This window comes from Homo sapiens, chromosome 1 (assembly GCF_000001405.40).
Source record: "Homo sapiens chromosome 1, GRCh38.p14 Primary Assembly".
Taxonomy (NCBI): Eukaryota; Metazoa; Chordata; class Mammalia; order Primates; family Hominidae; genus Homo; species Homo sapiens.
The window spans coordinates 98,232,831-98,252,089 of record NC_000001.11 but is presented as its reverse complement, the minus strand read 5'-3'; the positions used below and the strand labels follow the sequence as shown (position 1 = coordinate 98,252,089).

Below are 19,259 nucleotides of genomic sequence, written 5' to 3'. Positions count from 1 at the left end.
GCCTGGAAAAATCAAAAGCAAGTTAATTACTTCCTAGATACAATAAGGGTATAGGAATTTGGTAAATACACTTATTCCAAATGGGAGAAATTGGCCAAAACAAAGGAGCTACAGGCCCCATGCAAATCCAAAAATCCAGTGGGGCAGTGAAATCTTAAAGCTCCAAAATGATCTCCTTTGACTCCATATCTCACATCCAGGTCACACTGATACAAGAGGTGGGATCCCATGGTCTTGGGCAGTTCCACCCCTGTGGCTTTGCAGGGTACAGCCTCCCTCCAGGCTACTTTCATGGGCTGGCATTGAGTGCCTGCGGCTTTTCCAGGTACACAGTGCAACCTGTTGGTGGATCTACCATTCTGGGGTCTGGAGGATGGTGGCCCTCTTCTCAAAGCTCCACTAGGTGGTGCCCCAGTAGGGACTCTGAATGGGGGCTTTGATCCCACATTTCCTTTCTGCACTGCACTAGCAAAAGTCATCCATGAGGGGCTCACCCCAGCAGCAAACCCGCCTGGGCATCCATATATTTCCATACATCCTCTAAATTCTAGGCAGAGGTTCTCAAACCTCAATTTTTGACTTCTTTACACTTGCAGGCTCAACATCACATGGAAGCTGTCAAGGCTTGGGGCTTACACCCTCTGAAGCCATGGCCCAATCTCTACAATGGCCCCTTTCAGCCACTTCTGAAGTGGATGGGAGGCAGGTCACCAAGTCCCTAGGCTGCAAGTAGCACAAAGACCCTGAGCCCAGAACTCAAAACCATTTTTTCCTCCTAGACCTCAGGACCTGATAGGAGGGGCTGCAGTGAAGACCTCTGACATGCCCTAGAAATATTTTACCTGTTGTTTTGGGGATTAACATTTGTCTCCTCATTACTTATGCAAATTTCTGCAACCAGCTTGAATTTCTCCTCAGAAAATGGGATTTTCTTTTCTATTGCACTGTCGGCTGCATATTTTCTCAACTTTTGTACTCTGCTTCCCTTATAAAATTGAATGCACAGCAACAAAAGCTAAACTTGACAAATGGGATCTAATTAAACTAAAGAGCTTCTGCACAGCAAAATAAACTACCATCAGAGTGAACAGGCAACCTACAGAATGGAAGAAAATTTTTGCCATCTACTCATCTGACAAAGGGTAAATATCCAGAATCTACAATGAACTCAAACAAATTTACAAGAAAAAAACAAACAAAAAGTGGGCAACGGATATGAACAGACACTTCTCAAAAGAAGACATCTATGCAAGCAAAAGACACATGAAAAAATGCTCATCATCTCTGGCCATCAGAGAAATGCAAATCAAAACCACAATGAGATACCATCTCACACCAGTTAGAATGCCGATCATTAAAAAGTCAGGAAACAACAGGTGCTGGAGAGGATGTGGAGAAATAGGAACACTTTTACACTGTTGGTGGGACTGTAAACTAGTTCAACCATTGTGGAAGTCAGTGTGGTGATTCCTCAGGGATCTAGAACTAGAAATACCATTTGACCCAGCCATCCCATTACTGGGTATATACCCAAAGGATTATAAATCATGCTGCTCTAAAGACACATGCACACGTATGTTTATTGTGGCACTATTCACAATAGCAAAGTCTTAGAACCAACCCAAATGTCCAACAATGATAGACTGGATTAAGAAAATGTGGCACATATACACCATGGAATACTATGCAGCCATAAAAAATGATGAGTTCATGTCCTTTGTAGGGACATGGATGAAGCTGGAAACCATCATTCTCAGCAAACTATCGCAAGGACAAAAAACCAAACACTGCGCGTTCTCACTTATAGGTGGGAACTGAACAATGAGAACACATGGACTCAGGAAGGGGAACATCACACACCAGGGCCTGTTGTGGTGTGGTGGGGAGGGGTGAGGGATAGCATTAGGAGATATACCTAATGTTAAATGACGAGTTAATGGGTGTAGCACACCAACATGGCACATGTATACACATGTAACAAACCTGCACGTTGTGCACATGTACCCTAAAACTTAAAGTATAATAAAAAAAAAAAATTGAATGCCTTTAACAGCATCCAAGTCACATTTTGAATGCTTTGTTGCTTAGAAATTTCTTCCACCAGATGCCCTAAATCATTTCTCTCACATTCAGTTTCACAAATCTCTAGGGCAAGGGCAAAAATGCCACCAGTCTCTTTGCTAAAACATAACAAGAGTCAACTTTGCTCCAGTTCCCAACGAGTTTCTCATTTCTATCTGAGACCACCTCAGCCCGGACTCTATTGTTCATATTATTATCAGCATTGTGTGCAAATACATTCAACAAGTCTCTAGGAAGTTCCAAACTTTCCCACATTTTCCTGTTTTCTTCTGAGTCCTCTAAACCGTTCCAACCTCTGCCTGTTATCCAGTTCCAAAGTCGCTTCCACGTTTTTGGGTATGTTTTCAGTAGTGCCCCACTCTACTGGTACCGATGTACTGTATTAGTCTGTTTTCACGTTGCTGGTAAAGATATACCAAAGACTGGGCAATTTACAAAATAAAGAGGTTTAATGGACTTACGGTTCCATGTGGCTGGGGAGGTCTGACAATCATGGTGGAAGGTGAAAGGCACATCTCACATGGTGCCACACAAAAGAAGAGGGCTTGTGCAGGGAAACCACCTGTTTAAAACCATCAGATCTCATGAGACCTATTCACTATCATGAGAAAAGCACAAGAAAGACCATCTCTTATGATTCAGTTACCTTCTACTGAGTCCCTCCCACAACACATGGGAATTCAAGATGAGATTTGGGTGGAGACACACCCAAACCATATCAGCTATACTCACCCTACTTTGTAATAGAACACCAAAATTTATTCTTCCTGTCTAACTGTAACTTTGCACCTATTGAACAACCTCTCCTGGTCCCCCCTGCTCATCCCTACCCTCCCCAGCCCTGGTAATCACTACTCTCCTCTCTATTTTTATAAAATCAGCTATTTTAGAGTCCTCATGTGAGTGAGATAATGCAGTGTTTGTCCTTCTATTGGTGGCTTATTTCACTTAATATCATGTCCTCCACGTTCATCCATGTTGCCACAAATAACAAATTTCATTTTGTGTAATGGCTGAATAATACTCTCTTGTGCATGCACACGAGTGCATTTGTGCGTGTGTGTGTGTGTGTTACAGTTTTTCATCCTTTCATCTGTAGATGAGCATTAAGGTTGATTCAATAGCTTGGCTATTTTTAATAGTGCTGCAGTGCTGCAACAAATTTGGGCATGCAGATGTCTCTTCAACATACTAATTTCACTTTCTTTGGATGTGTACCCAATATATGGGATTGCTGGATCATATGGTAGTTCTATTTTTAATTTTTTGAGGAACTTTATACTATTTTCCATAATGACTGTAGTAATTTACATTCCTATCAACAGTATATAAGAGTGCCCTTTTCTTCACATCCTTGACAGCATTTCTTTTTTGTCTTTTTGATAATAGTCATTCTAACTGGAGTAAGGAGATATCTGATTGTGGTTTTGACTTGCATTTCCCTGATGATTAGTGATGTTGACTATTTTTTCATGTCTCTGTCAGCCACTTGCATGTCTTCTTTTGAAAAATGTCCATTTTAGCCTTCTGCACATTTTTAATTGGATTATTTGGGTTTCTTTTTTGCTATTGGATGATTAAAGAAATTGAAGAGAACATAAATAAAAGATATCCCATGCTTATAGATTGGAAGAATTAATACTGTTAAAATGTCCATATTACTCAAATTGGTCTACAAATTCAGTGCAATCCCTATCAAAACACTAATTACATTCTTCACATAACTAGAAAAGAATTATCTTAAATTCATATGCAAATGCAAAAGATGCCAGATAGTCAAAGCAATCATAAGTGAAAAGAATGAAGCTTAAGGCATCCCACTACCTGAGTTCAAAATACAGTACAAAGTCATAGTAACCAAAAATAGCATAGTACTGGCATTAAAACAGATGCATAGACTGATGGAATATAATAGAGAACCCAGAAAGAAATCCACACATTTACAGCCAATTGATTTTCAGCAAAGTCAACAAAAACACACATGGGGGGAAGGACAGTTTTCAATAAACAGTACCGTGAAAACTGGATATCCACATGCAAAAGAATAAAATTAGATCCCTATTTTTCACCCTACACAAAAGTCAACTCTAAATGGATTAAGGACTAAACCGTAATAATCAAAACCATGAAACTACTGGAAGAAAGCCTAGGGGAAATGCTTCATGAGTTGAACTGGGCAAGGATTTTTAAAATAAGACCTCAAAAGCACAGGGAACAAAAGCAAAAATAGGCAAATAGGATTATATTGAATGAAAAAGCTACTGTACCACAAAGTAGGCAATCAATAAAGAGACAAACCTACAGAATGGGAGAGAAAATTCAAGAACTGTGGGACAATGCTGAATGATCTAACGTAAATGAAATTGAAGTCCTAGACAGAAGGAAATTTGACCAAGAATTTCTCATAAGTGAGTGAAGACATCAAACCACAGATGTAATAATCTCAGCATAAGCCAAGCAGGATGTTTAGCCCTACTATACAAGTTAGAGGTCAAGGGAGTAACATCTTTAAAGTACTGAAAGACAAAAAAAATACTATGAACCCATAATTCTGCACCCACGAAAAATACTTTTCAAAAGGAAGGTAAAATACAGACTTTTTTTCAGTCAAACAAAGCCTGAGAGAATTTATGTCAGTAGAACTGCATTTTAAGAGATGCTAAACAAAAGTCTTTAGGCATCCACACTAGAACTGAATCTACACAAAGAAATGAAGATTGGTGTTAACTACGCAAATGGAGGTAAAAGTAAAAAGCATATATTCCTCATTTTTAATCACTTTAAAATATTTGAGTGTTTAATGCAAGACTTGTGACAATATTATGGAGTTTAAACTCTATATAACATTAATATATGTGACAATATCACAAAGGATGGGAAAAGGGTTTGGAAATATTCTGTTGTAAGGTTCTGATGCTATTTATGAGTGAGTACATATAATTTTTTTTTGAGACAGAGTCTTGTTCTGTCACCCAGGGTAGAGTGCAAGTGATACAATCATAGCTCACTGCAGCCTCAATGTCTCAGGCTCGTGCTATCCACTTGCCTTAGCCTCGAGTTGGTGGGACTACAGGCTACACCACCATGCCTGGATTTTTTTTTTTTTTTTTTTGTAGAGACAGGAGTCTCATTATGTTGTCCAGGCAGGTCTCAAACTCCTGGGCTCAAGCAATCCAACCATCTTGGCCTCCTAAAGTGCTGGGATTACAAGTGTGAGCCACCACGACCTGCCTATATCATTATTATTTGAAAGTAGCCTCTGATAAGGTAAATACGTATGCTAACCCCTAGGGAACAACTGAAAGTTGGTGGAGGGATATAAATAATTAGCCAAAAATGGAAATAGAAGCATTTTAAAATATTTAATTTAAAATAAGATAGAAAGAAGTAACAAAGAATCAAAGGAATTAATTAAAAGCAATTAGTAAGGTAGTAAATTTAAATCTAATAATATCAATAATCATATTAAGTGTAAATTGTCTAATTTCCCTAATCAAAAAGCAGAGATTTTCAAAATTGGGTAATAAAGGAAAATCCAACTATATGTTGTCTACAAGAAATTCATATTAAATATAAAGGCAAGTATAAGTTAAAAGTAAAAGTATTAAAAATATTGTAAACAATAATTTTTAAAAGCTGGAGTGGTAATATTAACATCCAATGAAATAAACTTCACAACAAGTTGTATTACCAGGGATAAAGAAAGACATTACATAATGATAAATGGGTAAGTTCATAAAAAAGACAAATCATTCCTAAATGTCACTGGATAAGATTAAATATGTGAAAAAAATAGTATGCTTATATATAAATTAATGCAATAAATATAAATATAATAGCATTGAAAACATTAACAACTTAGGTATTTAATAGGATAATCTGCGTATATATCTGACAAAAGAAATACAAAATTTGTTATACTGAAAACTATAACATATTGATTTAAATAAATCAAAACCCTAAATAAATGAAGAGAATATCATGTTCGTGAGTCAGAAAATACTACTCTTAAGATTTCAGTTCTCTCTGATTTGGTCTATAGATTTAGTGCAATCCAAATCAAAATCTCAAACAGGCCTTTTTTTTGTTTTGGTTTGGTTTGGGGTTTTTTGTAAAAATCAGTAAGCCGATTCTAAAATTTAGGTGCAAAGAGCGAAGAACCTAGAATAATGGAGGCAATTTAAGACAAAATTAAGGAATAAAGATGAAGAACCCTCACTACTCCATTTCCAGATTGACTGTAAAGCATTGGTATATAGAACAATTGAACAAAATGGAGTCCAGAAATAGACCCAAACATATATGATAGATTGATTACTTAGTAAAGTTGCCGGGGCAATTCAGTGTATAAAGAATGACCTTTCCACAAATGATGCTAGAACAATTGGGCATACATTTTTTAAAAGTATTTAAATACTCATATCATATTTATAAAAGAACTCAAAATGAACTATAAACCTTGATGTAAAACCCAAAACTTAGGACAGGAGAATCTCTGTGATCTTAAATTAGGCAAAATATTTTAGAGAGGACAGAAAAATCACAATTCATTAAAAAATTGGTAAATTGGAACCATAAAAACTAAAACTGCTCTTCAAAAGACACTATTAAGAAAATGAAAAGGCAAAACACAGATTAGGAGAAAATATTTGCAAACACGTGTTTGAAAAAGAACTTGTAGTCATAATACATAAAAAAGGCTCATGAAGTGAGAATAGGAAAACAAACTGCCCAATTTAAAAATGTTGGCAAAAGAATTGAACAGACACTTCACAAAAGAGCTATTGATGGCATGAAAAGATGCTCAACATCATTCGTCATATGAAAATGCAAATTAAATCCAAAGTGAGGTATCACAATAGACTCATTAGCTAAACTTAAAAGCTGACAAAACCAAGTACTGCTAAGGAGACAGAGCAATGGGAACTTTCATACATTACTGATGGTAATGAAAAATAATTCAGAAATGTTAGAAAAAGTTTTGCAGTGTCTTATACATTTAAGCATACTCTTAGACCCAGTAATTCCATTCCTGCCTATTTATCCAAAAGAAAAGACAACTTATGGACATACAAAAATTCTCATGTACATGTTTATAATCACGCCCACAAATTCTAGATAGCAGAAATGACCAGATATAAACTCCACTTGTTGTTCACTGTCAATTAACTAATGCCTTGTAAATTCTATTGTTGTAGCTAGAGATTAAAATACTGAGTAATACAAGGCCTGAGATTATCCCTTGTGGAAACTGATTGACTCTCCAACATAACAATTGCAATAATTTTTTGTAAGTTCTTCCACAAAACTTTCAGTTCAGTGCAAAGCCTTTTGTAATTCATGCATATTAAACTAATTGCACTCCCTTAATAAATACAAAGCTTAAGAGATCTGCTATTTTTGAGGCGGTGTGGATGAAATCACAGCACCATAGCGGCAGGATTAAGAACAGAATTGGGAAAGAGAAAGGAAACAAGAATCTAAATTAAATTATTAGAAAACAAGTAAAAGACACCTGTACAGTAATAAAAAAAAGAACGCTCCTTAAAAGCAATAATCACAGTTGATTTAATGTATATTAGTTTAATATTTTACAGTAAATATGAATGAATGCACGTAATCTAGAAGAAAGGTATAATGGGCATATATTTTCCAAATATAATTTAATGTTAGTAGGTACATGCAAAACATGGTGACTAATCATTGATTTAAGTATATTTTTAATCATTACTTGAAGAAAATTCATCATTTTCTTTGCTCTATTTACCATTATTCAGTTTCTGATGAGTTTGCTATGAAGGAAGTTGCACTTCATTGCACTGGGGGCAAAATTAGTGCTTGCTTCCAATTCATTTGTTGACTATGGTTGTATCATAGAGGAAGAACCCTAAAGAGCTCTTTACCTGGCTGCTCTTATTCTGGGTTCTAAATTAGAAATATCCTCTACCAGGAAGTTCCTGTTTTCTCCTCTTTGACCTGTAATGTAGCTGCCCTAAAGTTCTAGAACTGTGCTGTCCAATATGGTAGCCACTAGTCATATGTGGCTATTTAAAGAATTTTTTTTTTTTTTTAGCGACTGCAGTGGAGTGAACATAGCTAACTACAGCCTTGACCACTTGGGCTCCAGTGATCCTCCCATCTCAACCTCCTAAGTAGCCGGGAGTACAGATGCGCATGCCACCGTGCCTGGCTAAATTTTTGTTTATTCGTTTATTTTTCTAGGTGCAGATGGAGGCTTGCTGTATTTCCCCAGCTGGTTTCAAACTGCTAGCCTAAAGTGATCCTCCAGCCTTGGCCTCTCAAAGTGCTGGGATTACAGGCATGAGCCACTGTGTGCAGCCACTATATACGTTTAGATGAATTAAAGTTTAATAAATAAAAATTTACGTCTTTAGTTGTAATTGTCCCAGGACAAATGCTTGAGAATCATAAGCAAGCCAGTGTCTTCTGTATTGAACAGTGCAGATTACAGATTTTTTCCATAATCACAAAAGTTCTATGGGTCATCCCTAACCTAGAGCCAATAATTTTCTATCTAAAAATATCTGCTTACAATAATGATAATCTTCCTCAACTGTTGTCCTTCTCCCTAGGTCTACCTCTACAATGCTCTTATTTTTCCATCAAATTATTCACCATAACATTTGGTCTGAGGACATCATGTGTATTCTCTACTCCTTCAAGGTGTCTTCAAGGTGTACCCAGTCTATCATGAATTTAGTTTGCATTGAAATATGTTGCCCTTCTAAAATGGAACATTTCCTCTGTTCCTGCACTGCTACTTCCCAGAGCCCTACTCTGGGAAAATTACTATATTAAATGAGATGGGAGCTCACAAAATCATGAAATGCAACTAACAAAATTAATTCTAATTGCCCTACATAAAAGTACCATCAAATGGATTGAATAAAGGATGAAAGTCTATAAGCAGAGAATAAAAAATGGTTCTATTTTCAGTTCAGGTTTGGTGTTGCATAGGCTGCCAAGAAGTTCTTTGTTCAGTTTGATTTTATTTAACAACATTATTAATGATTTGGAAAGAGAAGTAAACAAGTTCTTAATGAAACTCATTGATGAGGCTGACTGGGTAGTGTTACAAACACAACTCATGGCAAAGAAATTATCTAATGAGATGGAGAGGGCAGTGAACTATTGACAAAAGCAGCCCCAAATTATATTCTACTTAGTAAAAATTAATGCTTAGTAATAAAGATGCCTAATTCAAAACAAAACTGCTTAACACAGACATAAGGAAAATAATTTCTGGTCTTTGCAATATTAAACCCTGCAATAATATGCTTATAAAGGAAGCAGTGGGCTTTATGTTCTTTGATTAAAGTTGTATTATCTGACATAGAGAAACATAATTCTTTTTACCCATGGCACTATCATCTTAGGATGTCTGGCTAATCAATAAGTAATAAGTTAGAGTAAGTTTGACGACTATTTTTCACTGAATTGATCTTCAGGTTGTGTTTTTGAATTAGGTTATATGTATGTGCAAAGAAGTTCATACAAAATACAAATATAACTAGAAATGTTATTGTCTATCCTATTCATAGTTTCTTATAAGGAACTCTGGCATGTATTGAGAATATATATGTATATATATATATATATACACACACACACACACGTGCATGCACACATACTCACATATATTTGGTTATACTTTTTTACAAATTTTACTTACATACTTAACTACATTTGAACAGTGGGGAAGAACAACAAAAATTGAAATTACTGCTGATTGTATAAATATGGTTATAAGTTAGAGTTATTTTAGTGTTATGTAACTCATTTTTATTGTGCTAAAATATAAATAAAATTTACCATTTAACCCAGTTTTTTGGTGTATAGTTCAGCAACATTAAGTATATTTACATTGCCAGACTCTAATACCTCTGAGAAAGTGGAAAATATTCCCTCTGACCTTGAAATTTTCACCAAATAGTTCTATCTTTGTATTTTCTGAGACTCCTTCCTGCTTGCAGAGTGACCATTTGTTCATTTCACAGCTGGCCACCCATCCCAAATCCCTAGGAATACAGCAAGAGAAACTCTTTCACACGTTCATCAAAATACATATATATATATATGTTCATAGCATTAGTGTTTATTAAATGAAAAATGGAAAATAGAAACAACACAAACATTCATCAACAGGAGAAAGCATAAATAAATTATGACATCTGTACACAATGTACTTTTGTATAATAAACTATAGCGACATGTAACACAGGTGAATCTCAGAAAAAAACAAATTGTATTTAAAAACTAAGCCACAGAAAACTTCATACAATATATCATTTCTTATCAATTTTATAAATTTCAAAAGCAAGATAGTATAAATGATACATTGTTTAAAAAACATGATAAAAATATTTTAAAGACAAGGGAGTAATAAATGTAAAATCAAGGAAGGCAATTATTTCCAGGGGTCAAAATAGATGAAAAAGAGAGCACAAAGTAATTTGTAGCACTACTGATCATATGGTAGATCTTAATTTGGGTGGGTGGTTTTTCTTTATTTTGTGCTTTTTTTTTCTTTCTTTTTTTTTTTTTCTTTGAGTGGGAGCAGTCAACCCCTTGTAGAACTGCTGCTTAGAATTCTCAAGTATGCGTAAAAAGGTGAAGATTGGAAAGGCTACACTTCTCTTACTACCATGGGCTTCTACTTCCCACACTCCTGTCATACCACAAGGGGAAGTTTTATCACTGTAGACCATTCCCACAAGAGTGTCACCCACAGAGTGAGTCTCTGATTTGAAATATAATATTTTTCTTAATTCTAAGTCATTGCTTGGCTTCACATTATTAACATTCCTGATTGTTAACACTGCTGGCTTATCCACAATAGCTGTGTACATGTGTAAAATAACAGTGGTTATTTAAACTATTTTCCAGTCACTCAGATCTATTCTTAAATTGAGGAAGTGTTTTTACATGAATGAAGAAATAAGTACATAAATAAATGAATTAAATATCTGTTAATAAATTATTTAAAATAATTAAAATACTCTGATGCAATGGAAAATTATATACCTGGGCTGGGCGCACTGGCCCATGCCTGTAATCCCAGCACTTTGGGAGGCTGAGGTGGGCGGATCACGAGTTCAGGAGTTCGAGACCAGCCTGGCCTACATGGTGAAACCCCGTCTCTACTAAGAATTCAAAAATTAGCTGTGTGTGGTGGCGTGTGCCTCTAATCCCAGTTTCTCAGGAGGCTGAGGCAGGAGAATTGCTTGGACCTGGGAAGCAGAAGTTGCAGTGAGCCGAGATCACACCACTGCACTCCAGCCTGGGCAACAGAGCAAGACTCCATCTCAGAAAGAAAAAAAAATGAAAATGAAAATTATGTACCACCCCAAATCACTGAGGCACGTATTTATGTAGGAAAAACATAAAATATATATATATTTTTAGGTAAAAGCAAGTTTTAGAATACATCTTTTCTATTTGTTTAAAATTTTCAATGTTATGAATACTCAATTAGGAGCAGATGAGGGCCACATTGATACGCCTTTCACAGAAATTGTATGTTTTTTAAAAAAGTAATCCATGAGTATTTTAAATTGAGACTTTTTTAATGTATTTCTCACATCTCCCCAGAATTCAGGGCAGTTCTGAGGTATAGTGCTATATTTTCTACCTTCCTTTTGGATCTCTTTTATAAATCCTGACCCCTTCACTCACCATGGAGCAAGGTGAATGTTTATATTTACTAAGCCTCCACTCTCCCATATCATGCCAATTGTAGAACCCATCACTCCTGTCTAATGTACCTGTGGCTTTTGGAAATGGTTCTATTGTAAATTTATTCTCATTAATTTCCTCCTAAAACAGGTTCTTTGAATTGCTGACATCTTGGGTTTCCCCATTTAAACAGCTACACACTGAATACTCACCTGCAGTAAAGCTTACTGATTGACAAGCTCTATTTTTATACACAAAGTTTCCAGTCAGCTTCTTAGCACTTTTTAAGACATTTTAATTAAATTATGATGCACATATAAGAAGTACACAAACTCAAGTGTGTGGCTCACTGAATTATGGCAAAGTGAGGAAACCAATGTAACTACCACCAAATTAAGAAATGAATCATTGCCAGGATCCCAGAAGTGCTGCTGGTACCCCCTCCTTAGCCACTCCCACCTCCTTAAAGGTAACCATTATCCTAACTATAAAAATTGTAGTTTAGCTTTAGCTTTATCTATTTTAAAATTTGTGTAAGTGGGATTATATATTATGTATTACTTTGTGTCTGGCTTGTTTCCCTCAATGTATTTGTGAGATTCATCCTGCTGTATATAGCAGTTCCTTCATTCACATTTAAATTTAATTCACTTTATCCATTTGATAATTGATAGATGTTTGGATTTGGGGATGAGTATTTTTTTTTTCAGCACAAACAGCTACAAAGCATTTGATACCCTGTTCGATAGTACATACAAGAACAAACATAAACACTTGACTAGGAAACATTCAAGCCTAAAAACTGTTGGGTTGAAAATGAAGACAGCACATTTTTCATGATCCTTCCCCATGTGAAAACTAGGACCATAAATTATATACAATAATATGCATATTATATATAAAAATAAAATGACCCCATGTTCTGCAGCCCTCTTGGTTGACTTCTCCCTTTTTAAATTTTTTTCAACTTTTATTTTTAGTTTATGGGTACATGCACAGGGCGTGCAGGTTGTTAAATAGGTAAACATGCGCCATGGTGGTTTGCTGCACAGATCATCCCATCACCTGGGATTAAGCCCAGCATCCATTAGCTATTCTTTCTGATGCACTCCCTTCCCTCAGCCCCTACAGGTGCCCAATGTGTGTTGTTCCCTGCCATGTGCCCATGGATTCTCTTCATTCAGCTCCCACTTATAAGTGAGAGCATGTGGTGTTTGGTTTACTGTTCTTGCATTAGTTTTCTGAGGATAATGGCTTCCAACTGTATCTATGTCCCTGTAAGGGACATCATCTCATTCCTTTTTATGGCTGCATTGTATTCTATGGTGCATGTGTACCACATTTTCTTTATCCAGTCTATCACTGATGGACATTTAGGTTGATTACCTGTTTTTGCTATTGTGAATAGTGCTGCGATGAACTTAGGTGTGCATCTATCTTTATAATAGAATGATTTATATTCCTTTGAGTATATAAGCAGGAATGGGATTGCTGGGTCAAATGGTATTTCTGCCTCTAGATCTTTGAGGAATCACCACACTCTCTTTCACAATGGTTGAACTAATTTACACTCCCACTAACAGCATAAAAATGTTCCTTTTTCTCCTCAACCTTGCCAGCATCTGTTGTTTTTGGTTTGGTTTTGTTTTGTTTTTTTGAGATGGAGTCTCTCTCTGTCTCCCAGGCTGGAGTGCAGTGGCATGATATCAGCTCACTGCAACCTCCACCTCCAGAGTTCAAGCAATTCTCCTGTCTCAGTCTCCCCAGTAGCTGGTACTACAGGCGTGCACCATCATGCCCAGGTAATTTATTTGTATTTTTAATACAGACGGAGTTTTACCATTTTGGTCAGGCTGGTCTTAAACTCCTGAACTCAAGTGACCCACCCGCCTCGGCTTCCCAAATTGCTGGGATTACAGGCGTGAGCCACTGCACCCCTCCTGTTTTTGGACTTTTTAATAATTGCCATTCTAACCCGCATGAAATGGTATCTCACTGTGGTTTTGATTTGCATTTCTCTGTTGATTAGTGATGTTGAGCTTTTTATTGTACATTTCTTGGCTGCATGTATGTCTTTTGCGAAGGGTCTTTCATATCCTTTGCCCACTTTTTAAAGTGGTTGTCTTTTTCTTGTAAATGTGTTTAAGTTCCTTGAAGACTCTGTATATTAGACCCTTGTCAGGTGGATAGATTGAAAAAGTTTTCTCCCATTCTGTAGGTTGTATGTTCACTCTGATGATAGTTTCTTTTGCTGTGCAGGGGCTTTTTAGTTTAATTAGATCCCATTTGTCAATTTTGGCTTTTGTTGTAATTGCTTTTGGCATTTTCATCATGGAATCTTTGCCCATGCCTATGTCCTGAATGGTATTGCCTAGATTTCCTTCTAGGGTTTTTATAGTTTGGGGTTTTGCATTTAAGTATTTAATCCATCTTGAGATAATTTTTGTATATGGTATAAGAAAGGGTCCACTTTCAATTTTCTGCATATGGCTAGCCAGAACTCCCAGCACCATTTATTAAATAGGGAGTCATTTCCTCATTGCTTGTTTTTGTTGGATTTTTCAGAGATCAGATGGTTGCCTGTGTGCAGTCTTAGAAGAGTTCTCTATTCCATTGCATTGGTCTATGTGTCTATTTTTGTACCAGTACCATGCTGTTTTGGTTACTGCAGCATTGTAGTATAGTTTGAAGTCAGGTAGTGTGATGTCTCCAGCTTTGTTCTATTTGCTTAGGATTGTCTTGGCTATATGGGCTCCTTTTTGGTTCCATGTGAATTTTAAAGTAGTGTTTTCTATTTCTGTGAAGAATGTAAATTGTAATTTAATGGGAATAGCATTTAATCTATAAATTACTTTGGGCAGTATGGCCATTTTCGCAATTTGGATTCTTCCTATCCATGAGCATGAAGTGTTTTTTATTTGTTTGTGTCCTCTCTGATTTCTTTGAGCACTGGTTTGTAGTTATCATTAAAGAGGTACTTCACTTCCTTTGTTAGCTGTATTCCTAGTTATTTTATTCTTTTGGTAACAATTCTAAACAGCAGTTCATTAATGATTTGGCTACCTGCTTGTCAATTGTTGGTGTATAGGAATGCTTGTGATTTTTGCACATTGATTTTATATCCTGAGACTTTGCTGAAGTTGCTTATCAGTTTAAGAAGCTTTTGGGCTGAGATGATGGGGTTATCTAAATACAGGATCATGTCATCTGCAACAGATAATTTGACTTCCTCTCTTTGTATTTGTATACCTTTATTTCATTATTTTGCCTGATTGTCATGACCAGAACTTTAAATACTATGTTTAATAAGAGTGATGAGAGAGGGCGTTCTTGTCTTGTGCTGGTTTTCAAGGGGAATGCTTCCAGCTTTTGCACATTCAATATGATATTGGCTGTGGATTTGTCATAGATGGCTCTTATTATTTTGAGATATTTTCCTTTAATACTTAGTTTATTGAGTTTTTAACATGAAGGTATGTTGAAATTTATTGAAGGTCTTTTCTGTATCTATTGTAATAATCATGTGGTTTTTGTCTTTAGTACTGTTTATGTGATGAATCATAGTTATTGATTTGCATATGTTGAACCAACCTTGAATACCAGGGATGAAGCCAACTTAATCATGGTGGATAAGCTTTTTGATGTGCTACTGGATTCAGTTTGCCAGTGTTATAATGAGGATTTCTGCACTGATGTTCATCAAGGACATTGGCCTAATGTTTTTGTTGTTGTATCTTTGGTATCAGGATGATGCTGGCCTCATAGAATGACTTAAGGAAGAGTTCGTCCTTTTCAATTTTTTGGAATAGTTTCAATAGAAATGGTACCAACTCTTCTCTGTACCTCTGGTAGAGTTTAGCTGTGAATCTTTCTGGTCCTTGGCTTTTTCTGGTTGGTAGGCTATCTATTACTGCTTCAACTTCAGATCTTGTTATTGGTCTATTCAGGAATTCAGTTTCTTCCTGATTCAGTCTTGGGAGGGTGTATGTGTCCAAGAATTTATCCATTTCTCCTAGGTTTTCTAGTTTATGTGCATAGAAGTGTTTATGGTATTGTCTGATGATTGTATTTCTGTGGGGTCAGTGGTGATATTCCCTTTAACATTTTTTACTGTGTCTATTTGATCTTCTCTCTTTTCTTCTTTATTAGTAAAGCTAGCATCTATCTATTTTTTTTTCAAAACACCACCTCCTGGATTCATTGATGTTTTGAAAGGTTTTTAGTCTCTCTGTCTCCTTCAGTTTGGCTCTGATTTTGCTTATTTCTTTTCTTCTGCTAGCTTTGGGGTTTGTTTGCTCTTAGTTCTCTGTTTTTTTTAGTTAAGATGTTAGTTTGTTAACTTGAGATCTTTCTAGCTTTTTGATGTGGGTATTTACTGCTATAAGTTTCCCTCTTAACACTTCCTTAGCTGCATTCCAGAGATTCTAGTATGGTGTCTTTTTGTTTTCTTTAGTTTCAAATAACTTCTTGATTTCTGCCTTAATTTCATTATTTACCCAGGAGTCATTCAAGAGCTGGTTGTTCAATTTCCATATAGTTGTGTGGTTTTGAGTAAATTTCTTAACCTTGAGTTCTAATTTCACTGTGCTGTGGTCTGAGAGGCTGTTATGATTTCAATTCTTTTGCATTTGCTGAGGAGTGTTTTACTTCCAATTATGTGATCAATTTTAGAGTAAGTATTGTGTGGTGATGAGAAGAATGTATATTCTGTTGTTTTTGAGTAGAGAGTTCTGTAGATATCTATTGGGTCCACTTATCCAGAGCTCAGTTTATGTCCTGAATATCTTTGTTAATTTTCTGTCTCAATGATCTGTCTAATATTGTCAGTGTGGTGTTAAAATCTCTGACTATTATTATGTGGAGGTCTAAGTCTCTCTGTAGGTCTTTACGAACTTGCTTTACGAATCTGGATGCTTCTGTAATAGGCACTTATATATAGAGGATAGTTAAGTCTTCTTGTTGAACTGAACCCTTTCTCATTGTGTAATGTCCTCTTTGTCTTTTTTGATCTTTGTTGGTTTAAAGTCAGAAAGCTGGATTGCAACCTCCACTTTTTTTCTGTTTTCCATTTGCTTGGTAAATTCTCCTCCATTCCTTTATTTTGAGCCTATGTGTGTCTTTGCTCATGAGATGGGTCTCTTGAAGACAGCATACGTGTGGGTCTTGGCTCTTTATCCAATTTGCCATTATGTGTCTTTTAACTGGGGCATTTAGCCCATTTACGTTTAAGGTTAGTATTGTTATGTGTGAATTTGATCCTGTCATTATGATGGTAGCTGGTTATTTTTCAGACTTGTTTATGTGGTTGCTTCATAATGTCACTGGTCTGTGTGCCTCAGTTTGTTTTTGTAGTGGCTGGTAATGGTGTTTCCTTTCCATATTTAGTGCTTCCTTCAGGAGCTCTTACAAGGCAGGCCTGGTGGTGATAAAGTCCCTCAGCATTTGCTTGTCTTAAAAGAATCTTACTTCTCCACTTATGAAGTTTAGTTTGGCCAGATATGAAATTCTGGGTTGGAAATTCTTTTCTTTAAGGATGTTGAATATTGGCCCCCAATCTTTTCTGGCTTGTAGGGTTTCCACTGAGATGTCCACGTTAGTTTGATGGGTTTCCCTTTGTAGGTGACCTGGTCTTTCTCTCTGGCTGCCCTTAACATTTTTTCTTTCATTTCAACCTTTGAAAATCTGAAGATTATGTGTCTTGAGGTTGATCTTCTCATGGAATATGTTACTGGGGTTCTCTGGATTTCCTGAATTTGAATGTTGGCCTGCATTGCTAGGTTGGAGAGTTCTCCTGGATTATATCCTGAAGTATGTTTTCCAACTCAGTTCCTTTCTCCCCATCTTTTTCAGTTAACCCAATCATCCATAGATTCAGTCTTTTTACATAATCCCATATTTCTTGGAGGTTTTATTCATTACATTTCTCTCTATTCTTGTGTACCAGTCTGATTTCAGACAGATAGTCTTCCAGCTCTGAGATTCTTTCCTCTGCTTTGTCTTTTCTGCTATTGATACTTGTGATTGCATTGTGAAGTTCTCCTGTTGTGTCTTTCAGCTCCATCAGGTCTGTTATGTTCCCCTCTAACCTGGCTATTCTGGCTATCAGCTCCTGTATTGTTCTACAGTGACTCTTAGTTTCTTTGCATTGGGTTACAACATTTTCCTTTAGCTCAGTGAACTTTGTTATTACCCACCTTCTGAAACCTACTTCTGTCAATTCAGCCATCTCAACCTCAGCCCAATTCTGTGCCCTTGCTGGAGGAGATGCAGTCATTAGGAAAAGAAGAGGCCATCTGGCTGCTTGAGTTTTCAGCATTTTTGTATTGATTCTTTCTCATCTTTGTGGGCTTATCTACCTTTGATCTTTGAGGTACCTCTGAATGGGGTTTTTGTGGGGTCTTTTGCTGTTGTTGTTGTTTTCTGTTTGTTTGTTTTTCTTTTAACAGGTCACTTTACCATAGGGTTGCTGCGGTTTTCTGGGGTCTGTTCCATACCCCAGTGCCTCAGCTTCTCATGTACCTGGAGGTATCACCAGTGAAGGTCGGGAAACAGCAAATATGCCAGCTAGTCTCTTCCTCTGGAAGCTCCATCCCAGGAGGGCACTGACCTGTTGCCAGCCTGCATGCACCTGTAGGAGGTGGTTGGGGACCCCCACTGGAAGGTCTCACCCAGTCAAGAGGAACAGGATCAGAGACCCACCCAAAGAATCAGTCTGGCTGCTTCTTGCTAGAGCAGGTATGCTGCACAAAGGGGACACTTCCTCATCTGGACCACCTGTATTCTCCACAGCCAGTAGGCTGGAATGGCTGAGTCTATGTAACTGCAGAGATGGCAGCTGCTCCTCCTTATGGTAGCTCTGTCCCAGGGAAAGATCAGAGCTCTATCTGTAAAACCAAGGTCCCACCCAGTGAGGAGGAAAAGTGTCAGTGTCCTGCTTAAATAAGCAGTCTGGCCATGATCTGGCAAGGCAGCTGTGGTGTATTATCAGGGATGACATTCCTTGTCTGAACAATCTGTATTCTCCACAACTAGTAGGCTGGAATGGCTGAGTCTAGTGAACCACAGAGATGGTGGCCACCTCTCCCTCTGGGATCTCGGTCCTATCTCAGGCAGATTCCAACCTGCTGCCATTGGCTGCCTGGGATCACAAGCCAGTGGGTCTTAACTTGTGAGGGGCCATGGAAGTGGGGCCCGCAGAATGATGCTGCTTGGCTCCCTGGATTCAGCTCCCTTCCTCGGGATATGTACAGATGGATTTTTTGCCTTGCCAGGGATCCTGGGGCCAGAATATGTAAAACTCCTGTGTCTCCGTGTGTGCCCAAGCAGCTGCTCTGCTGAGCCTCCACACAGCTCTACACAGTTATTGGGTTACATTGAACCTAAGGCCCTCATGGCATGAGCTCACAAGGGGATCTTCTGATCTGCAGGCTGCAAGGATCTGTGGGAGAAGCATGGTTTCCTGGGTGAGGTCACACAATCAC

At 37.2% G+C, this 19,259-nt stretch overlaps 2 long non-coding RNA genes across 2 annotated transcripts in view; both read right to left on the bottom strand.

Moving 5' to 3' along the window:
• LOC124900404 (uncharacterized) overlaps positions 1 to 19,259 on the bottom strand; it is a 228,127-nt gene that overhangs the window by 30,416 nt on the left and 178,452 nt on the right. The window lies entirely within an intron of this gene.
• LINC01776 (long intergenic non-protein coding RNA 1776) overlaps positions 1 to 19,259 on the bottom strand; it is a 61,948-nt gene that overhangs the window by 20,569 nt on the left and 22,120 nt on the right. Inside the window, exon 2 of the long non-coding RNA NR_046088.1 lies at positions 2,544 to 2,644. This is a non-coding gene — a long non-coding RNA (long intergenic non-protein coding RNA 1776). The remainder of the gene's footprint in view (positions 1 to 2,543; positions 2,645 to 19,259) is intronic.